This window comes from Homo sapiens, chromosome 5 (assembly GCF_000001405.40).
Source record: "Homo sapiens chromosome 5, GRCh38.p14 Primary Assembly".
Lineage (NCBI taxonomy): Eukaryota > Metazoa > Chordata > Mammalia > Primates > Hominidae > Homo > Homo sapiens.
The window spans coordinates 144485899-144495092 of NC_000005.10; the positions used below are offsets into that span (position 1 = coordinate 144485899).

A 9194-nucleotide genomic window follows, 5' to 3' on the forward strand; every position below is an offset into this window, starting at 1 on the left:
GCGGAGGCGTTGCCTCTGTCTCTTGCTAATTGGATGGCTTTGTACTATTTTTCAAACCTCTTGAAACACCAGTTTCCTTATCTGTAAATAGGAAATAGAAATAATGGATATATCACAAGGTTCTTGTGAGAGTTAAATTAGATAATCTATATAAAGCACTTATCACAGTATCTTGTACATTAAATAGCTGCTTAATAACCCTTATCCATTCTTATTACTATTATTCCAAAATGCAAATTTTAAAAAGGAATTCAGCTTCAACACTGAATATCTGAATCCTTTTTTTTATACTTTACCGTTTTATGACATTGCTAATAGTGTTAAGCATTATGTTTTTTAATCAGAAGGGAAAATTCTACAAAAAATAATTTTACAGCTTGGGGGAGCTTTAGAAATAATTCAGCCTTTTGCTGTTGTGAAGTGTTTTTGGTGGCATACTTGCCCCATGATATGCACTGAAAAAATGGAAGGAATTGGGCAACGTACAGTTTGAGAGATGTAATCTCTTTTACACTTTCCACCTTGCACTTTTAAAATGCTCTTTATTATATTTAAAGTCCTGGGAGTTTTGCAGTGAAAACAAAACAAAACAAAACAAAAACTTTCAAACTTTAACCCAGAATCTCCCAGACTGGTCTCACCAAACTTTCTTCCGGTTTTGAGAAACACACTTTGGGAAATGTTTATTTAACCCATTCCCTTCCTTGTATTTCTTGTACAGAAAGGGAAAGTTAAGACCCAGAGAGGAAGAGATGGTTCTGGGTCTAGAACTGCATCTGTGGAATCAAGCTAGGACACTTCTCATATGCTATCTCATGTAAGTGAGATAACAGTTACAGCTTTGTCTTGAGAAACTATTCTAAAGTCACAATATCCATACTGCATGGACCCAAAGTAAAAAGTCCCACAAGGTACAGAAGGCCAAGCAGGAGAAGGTGAGGATCTAGTCTACAGTAATCCTCCTTAAAACTCTGTTACCACTGAAGTCACTTAGGAATGAGATAGTCTATTTTGCCTCAATAAGCTGATCCTTAGCAATAGTGGCTACAAGGATGCTGTACCGTGCTGAATTTCAGTCCACAAGAGGGATGGAAGCTTAGACAGACTGAAGTGATGGAGGGGTTTGGAGAAAAAGTTTTCCCATGAATTCTTTTGTGGAAAGCTGTGGGCTTTCCTCTGAAAACTTGAGAGAGAGAAAGCAACTGTGATGGAGATTTGTGAAGTTAATGACCTCCAAAGCCTTAGAAATTGCTTAAATAGAGCCAAAACTTCATTAAATTTAGGCACAGGGAAAGTCTATGCCTCCACTGTTCCAGAATGACATAGACAAGTAAAGAACCAACATTAAGAGAAAAAGTTGGCTGCAGACTTACAGAATGAACAGCAGGAAGGAATTTATTTGTCACCATTGTTCTGCCCAGAACAGCAGCTAGTTTCCCCCAAAAATCAAGGGTCCTGAGAACACTCCCTAAAGATTCTGCGATGTGGGTGGTGAGGACACAAGGGGGCTCTCTCTACTTGCTGGGGAGCATGGGTGGAAAAAGGGTGTATGGGGAGCCCAGGAAAGCACTGGTAGTAGATCAGGAGAAAGACTCCTCTTGAGATCTCTGGAGAGATTTGGGGAGATTTGTACACAGCCACTGATCAAAAACTCACCCTTCTGATAAATTGAATTGAACAGGACTTGATCAGAAGGATCATAATTTTTGCAACGAGGACAGTGAAAAAGGAAAAAATACGAACTGCTTAGACAATACTTCTTCCCTCCAATTTCAACCCAAAGGCAGCATTCCTTCCCATGACTAAAAAAATATTCAGAGCCCACATCAATCTTGTCCCAAATGGCAGCTGCCACTGAAACAGGTCATGATAAGTCTTCATTTCAATAAGGGGATGATAAAAACCCTTAGCCAGGCAGAGCAGCTTCAGCCTTCAGTAAGCCAGCCTCATGTTGCAGAGCTTAAAAAAATCAATAGGTCAGCAACAAAGGCCCAGGAGGAGGGCAGGGTTTTCAAATGCTAAGATTGCCAAAGAGCTCCAGGCACACCCCATAAACCCCTTGCTTATTCTTATTACCATGTTATGAAAGCACCAAAAATAAATTCTGAGGACTAAACTCAGTCTTTGACTTGTTTTTCTCTTTCTTCTGACTCACCATGTGAGTCTTGCTATCTTTAGGGTAGCAAGAAACAAAAACACCCTACATAACTGGAAGATAGCTAGTATATTGAAATGGTATTGCTCTTCCTCTGTGGATAGGTCTGAGTTCAAACATGCTCTTCAAGGCTGTCTGCTTCCTGATGGATATGCAGCAATTAAATAGGATGTCTCCAAGAGACAAAATCACAGACACATAGGTACCTTTGATACAAATAAAGCTTTTCTCCTCTCCATCCTCCCTGAATGTTCTACTTTTTTTCTATACATTTCTTTCCCTCTCTTTTTATTCTGTTTGTTCTTCACGCGTCTGGAGTATAGGGTAAACATATTTAATAAATCACAGCATCCTTTATCTAACAGTGCCCCTTTCCCCCACCATACGCTTTCCTTGAAGCCTCAATTTCTTCATCTAGTCTGTGATTGGGGACATTGAAGGAGATATATTTTTTGCACCATTTTGCCATCCCTTTCTCAACTGATTTTTACCTCAGCTCTGGCTGGTCTCCTATTTGAAGGAAGAGGTGGAGGTGGGGAGGATTTGGTGGGTCCCAAATATTGACCGTTTTAGATTGTCTTTGAGAGAAAACAGCAAGTCTATCTAGGAGGAAATGAAAGACAAGGAGAAGGTGAGTTGAATGCTGGTGGACTGTGGTCTGTGGTCCTAAAGCTATTGCAAATGGGTGAGCTACCTTAACTGTTTCTTCCCTGGGGATGAAGTGGGAACCCAAGACCTTTCCCTGCTAATTTCCACATATGCCCCAGTTTAATGACTCATTTTCTGCCTTAACCAGAGCTTGCACCCTTTGCTCCAGAAAGTCCAGCATGAATTTCTGTTTTGTCTTTAACATGGATAGACGGGAAGGGATTGGAAATGGTGAGAAAGTAGTGAACTTATTGGAGTTAGACAGAGAAGCCACACAGTTAGCAGCAAATCATTCTTTCTCCCTTTGCCCCTGGGAAAGAGTGGCCCTTAGTACCTAGAAATAATAGACTGTCAGTTTGTTTGTTTTTTTTTCATTAAGGAGATGGATGTCCTGGTCTCTCTGTCACCTGATATTAACAAATGTGAGAGAGTGTGAGGAGGGAAAAAGATGTTAATAATAATCAGTTTTGTGTACCTGAGGCATAAGAGATTTTTTTCCTGATAGAGTAAATGAATAACATGGTAATTAACTTGATCTACTCTTTAGGGAGCTGCTACCTGCAGGTCTCTTTGCAAAGCCCAGGCTTTATGCTCATAGTGCAATGATGTTCACAATGTCCTCTGGCACCTTGAGGTTTGCAGTGTGTATTCTCATTCATCTATAGTTTCTGAAAGCTGAAGCAACAGTTGGGGACTTAGAAAGGACTGCATCATTTTCCTCTTAGTTATTTTCTATAACATAACTTCTCGTAGGTCTGTACAACTATAGAATATCTTACATTGCTATTTATGATGCTTTGAGGAAGTGCTGGAAATATAGCAGATTAAAAATTAGCCAAAATAATATACAAACATGTTAATATCAGCTGTTTCCCATATTTTGTGGTACTCTTTTTTTAATAAGTAAATAGCAACCAAAGACAAAAACATACAAGGAAAAAGGGTGTCTTCTTGTTTGAATAGGAAAAATTGATTGTTTACTGTTTTATGACATACAGCCTATACAAATCCCATCCTTTTAGTCTCAAGATTGTGAAAACAACAAAACAGAAAAAGGTCTCCAAAGTACACAAGACCCAGATTCAAGGATTCCTATATGTATGCCAACAACCTTAAGGGAAGAGCTGGAGAAAGTCTCAACATAAATACAGAGCTCTGATGATATATGTTTTTAAAGCCTGGGAAACAGAGTAAAATGACAAGAGGTAAAACAATTATATATCCTACAGGTACAAAATTTTAGTACATTTTTTATAGATCCAACTTCATTGATACAATCTCTTGATTTTTTCTTTCTTCCAGACATTTCCCTCCCTCTGACACTACTTGTGTTTCTGCTCTGATTATCTTATTGGAATTTCTCAGAGTACCTATAAAAGAGGCATAAAGTAGGTGGCAAGGAGTTGAAGTGAAATAGGTCTGGGAGTGGGGAGAAAAATGGTCTTGAGCCTTGTTTCTCAAAGTCCATTCTATAAACAGGCAGCATAGAAATATAGAGTCTGAGAACCACTCCCACTTCCAGTCTTACTGGATCAGAATCTGAATTTTAACAAAACCCAGGGACACATGTCACATACACATTAAAGTCTGAGAAATATTGGCCTATAAGATAGGGCAGAATTAATAGGGCTATCCTCAGAGGCAAAAAGGAGAGATTGAGACAAGGGGTATATGGAAGGTAGATTCTTCCAAGTGGGGCCATGGCATTAGGTAATGTGGAGGTTGACATGTGAGCAATAAAAACACCACTGGCCTCAGGAAAAACCTAACACTCTAGTAGAGATTGGGGTCCTACTTTAGCTTCCTTAAAGAGAATAATTGTCAGCCAAGAATTTTGTATCCAGCAAAACTAAGTTTCATAAATAAAAGAGAAATAAAGTCATTTTCAGACAAACAAATGCTGAGGAAATTTGTCACCACCAGTCTATCCCTACGAAAAATGCTAAAAGAAGTTCCAAATCTGGAAACAAAAGATGCACCAGAATAAAGCCTCTTCAAAGCATAAAACTCTAAAACAATAAAGGGCCTATAAAATAATAACACAATGAAGAAAACAAAGTATCTAGATAACAATCTAACAAACATGATGACTGGAACAGCACCTCGCATCTCAATATTAACATAGAACATAAATAGTCTGTTGATCCACTTAAAAGATACAGATTGACAGAATAGATTAAAAAATCACAAGTCAAATATCTGCTATCTTCAAGTGACTTACATAATATGTAAAAATTCATATGAACTCAAACTCAAGTTAAATAGGTGGAAAAAGATATTGCACACAAATGGAAGCCAAAATCAAGCAATAGTAGATATTCTTATATCAGATAAAATGGACTTTAAAGCAACAAAAGTAAAATAAACAAACAAACAAGAAGGTCATTATATAGTGATAAACAGATCACTCCAATAAAAAAAATACTAAAATCCTAAATATATATGCACCTAACTCTGGAGTTTCCGGATTTATAAAATAATTACTAGTAGACCTAAGAAATGAAATAGACAGCAACACAATAATGGGGTGTGGGGGACTTCAACACTCCACTGAGAGCACTAGAAATATCACCATGGCAGAAAGTTGACAAGAAAACAATGGACTTAAACTACACATTAGAACAAATGGACCTAACAGATATTTGCAGAACATTCTACCCAAGAACTGCAGAATATACATCTCATCAGCACACGGAACCTTCTCTAAGAGAGGCTATAGGCAACAAAACAAGATTCAATAAATTAAAAAAAAATCAAGATCATATCAAGGTTCTTCTCAGACCACAGTAGAATAAAATTAGAAATCAACTCCAAAAGGAACCCTCAAAATTATACAAACGAAAGGAAACTAAACAATCTGATTCTGAGTGATTTTGGGAGTTAACAATGAGATCAAGATAGAAATTTTAAAACGCCTTGAAATAAACTGTAATAGTGACACAAGTTATCAAAATCTCTGGGATACAGCAAAAACAGTGCCAAGTGGAGAGTTTATAGCACTAAATGCCTACATCAAAAAGTCTGAAAGATCACAGATTGACAAACTAATTTTACACTTCAAGGAACTAGAGAAACAGAAACCAAATCCAAAGCTAGCAGAAGAAAAGAAATAACAAAGATCAAGGCAGAACTAAATGAATTTGAAAGAAAAACAATTATAAAAGATCAATAAAACAAAAGGTTGATTTTTTGAAAATATAAACAAAATTGGTAGACCATTAGCAAGATTAACAAAGATGAGAAAAGATTCAAATATGCTTAATTAGAGATAAAAATGGACACATTACAACTGACACTACAAAAATGCAAAAGATCATTTGAGACTACTATGAACACCTCTATGCACACAAACGAGAAAATCTAGAGGGAATGAATAAATTCCTGGAAACATACAACCCTCCTAGATTAAATCAGGAAGAAACAGGCACACTGAACAGACCAATAATAAGCAGTGATATTGAATCAGTAATAAAAAATTGCCAACAACAACAAAAAAGCCTAGGGCCAGATGGATTGACAGCTGAATTCTACCAGATGTTTAAAGCAGAATTGGTACCAATTCTACTGAAACTATTCCAAAAGATTGAGAAAGACAGAATCCTTCCTAACTCATTTTATGAGGCCAGTATCACCCTCATATCAAAATCAGGAGCAGACATAACAAAAAGATAAAACCGTGAACCAATATCCCTGATGCACATAGATAAGAAAATCCTCTCTCTCTCTCTCTCTCTCTCTCTCTCTCTCTCTCTCTCTCTCTCTCTCTATATATATATATATATATATATATATATATATGCTAGCTAGCCAAATCCAACAACACATCAAAAAGATAATACATGATGATCAAGTGAGTTTTATCTTAGGGAAGCAGGGATAATTTAACTTACACAAGTCAATAAATGTGATACTTCACATAAACAGAATTAAAAACAAAAACCAAGGCCAAGTGTGTTGGCTCACACTGATAATCCTAGCCTTTTGGGAGGCTGAAGTAGGAGGATTGTTTGAAGCCAGGTTTTTGAGACTAGCCTGGGCAACATGGTAAGAACTCATCTCGACAAAACAAAAACAAAAATTCAAAAGCAAAATTAGTCAGGCATGGTGGTTCACAACTGTGGTCCCAGCTACACATGAGGCTGAGGTGGGAGGATCAATGGAACCTGGGAAGCCAAAGCTGCAGTGAGCCATGATTTTGCCACTCCACTTCAGAGTGAGATCCTGTCTCAATCACACACACACACACACACACAATCATCCCAATAGATGCGGAAAAAGCATTTGATAAAATCTGATATCTCTTTATGATAAAACATCTCAAGAAACTGGGAATAGAAGAAACATAACTCAAAATAGTAAAAACCATATGTGACAAACCCACAGCTTCATAATGAATGGGGAAAAGTTTAAAGTATTCCCCATGAGAACTGGAACAAGGCAAACATGCTCACTTTCACAAGTTCTATTCAACATAGTACTGGAAGTGCAAGAGAAAGAAATAAATAAAGGTCATCCAAATTGGAAAAGAGGAAGTCAAACTATCTCTGTTTACCAATGATATGACTGTATACTTAAAAAAACCCTCATGCCTTCTCCAAAAGACTCCTAGATTTGATAAATGAATTCAATAAAGGCTCAAGTTACAAAATCAATGTACACAAATCAGTAACATTGCTATACACCAACAACATCCAACCTGAGACTCAAATCAAGAACTCAATCCCCTTTACAATAGCTACAAAAAAAAAAAAACCCAGGAATATTCCTAACCAAAGAGGTGAAAGATCTCTACAAGGATAACTAAGAAACACTGCTGAAAGAAGCCAGACGACACAAACAAATGAAAAGAAGTCTTATACTCACAGATAGGAAGAATCAATATCAGGAAAATGACCACACTGCCCAAAGAAATCTACAGATTCAAGGCAATTCCTATCAAAATGCAATCATATTTTTTCATAGAATTAGAAAAAAAATCCTAAAATTCATATGGAACCAAAAAAGAGACTCAATAGCTAAAGCAATTCTAAGCAAAAAGAAGAAATCTGGAGGCATCACACCACCTGACTTTAAGTTATACTGCAAAGCTACAGTTAGTAAAACAGCATGTTCTTGGTATAAAAGTAGAAACATAGACGGGTTGAATAGAATGGAGAACCCAGAAATAAAGCTAAATAATTAAAACGAACTGGTCTTTGACAAAGCATTGAAAAAACATACATAAGTGAAAGGACACCCTGTTTAATAAATGGTGCTGGGAAAACTGGATAGCCACTTGTAGAAGAATGAAAATGGATTACTATAACTCACCTTAAACAAAAATTAACTCAAAATAAATCAAAGGCTTAAATCTAATATTTGAAGCCATAAAAATTCTAGAAGATAACCTAGGAAAACCTCTTCTGCTCATTGGCCTAGGCAAATAATTTATAACTAAGACCCCAAAAGCAAATGCAACAAAACCAAAAATACATAAACGGGACCTAATTAAACTAAAAAGCTTCTGTGCAGCAAAAGAAATAATCATCAGAATAAACAGACAACACACAGAATGGGAGAAAATGTTTGCAAATGATGCATCTGACAAATAAATAATATCTAGAATCTCCAAGGGAATCTACAAACAAGTCAAAAAAATCAACACAAGAAAAAAAAACCCATCAAAAAGTGGGCGAATAACAGGAATAGACATTTCTCAAAAGAAGATATACAAATGATGAACAAACATATAAAAAAGCTCAACATCACTAAACATCACTAATCAAAACCACAAGATATGACCTTACCCCAGCCAGATGTCTATTATTAAAAAGTCAAAAAACAATAGGTTTTGGCATGGATTTGGTGAAAGGGAATGCTTATGCACTGCTGGTGGGAATCTTAATTAGTGCAACTTCTATGGAAAACAGTATGGGGATTTCTTAAGAAACTAAAAGTAGATCTATCATTCGATCCAGCAATCCCACTACTGGATATCTATCAAAGGAAAAGAAGTTATATCAAAAAATGTCCTCATGTGTATATTTATTACAGCACAGTTCACAATTGCAAAAATATGGAACCAAACTAAGTGCCCATTGACCAATGAGTGAATAAAGGAAATGTGGTATATATCCACCATGAGATACTACTCAGCCATAAAATGAATGAAATAATGTCCTTTGCAACAACTTGGATGGAATTCAAAGTCATTATTCCAAGTGAAGAAAATCAAATACCGTATGTTCTCACTTGTAAGTGGGAGCTAAGCTATGGGTATGCAAAGGCAGATAGAGTGATATAATAGACTTTAGAGACTCAGAAGGGAGAGGTGACACATATTGGTCATAATGTACACTAATTTAGTGACAGGTGCACTAAAATCTCAGACTTCACCACTATACAGTTCATC

The 9194-nt window shown here is 36.5% G+C and overlaps 1 annotated feature.

Moving 5' to 3' along the window:
* Window positions 1755–2256: an enhancer, noted in NCBI's record as "NANOG hESC enhancer chr5:143867216-143867717 (GRCh37/hg19 assembly coordinates)". NCBI's record gives its function as "activates a minimal SCP1, AML or CMV promoter by ChIP-STARR-seq in naive H9 embryonic stem cells {active_cell/tissue: H9 hESC(naive)}" and the evidence as "EXISTENCE:reporter gene assay evidence [ECO:0000049][PMID:30033119]".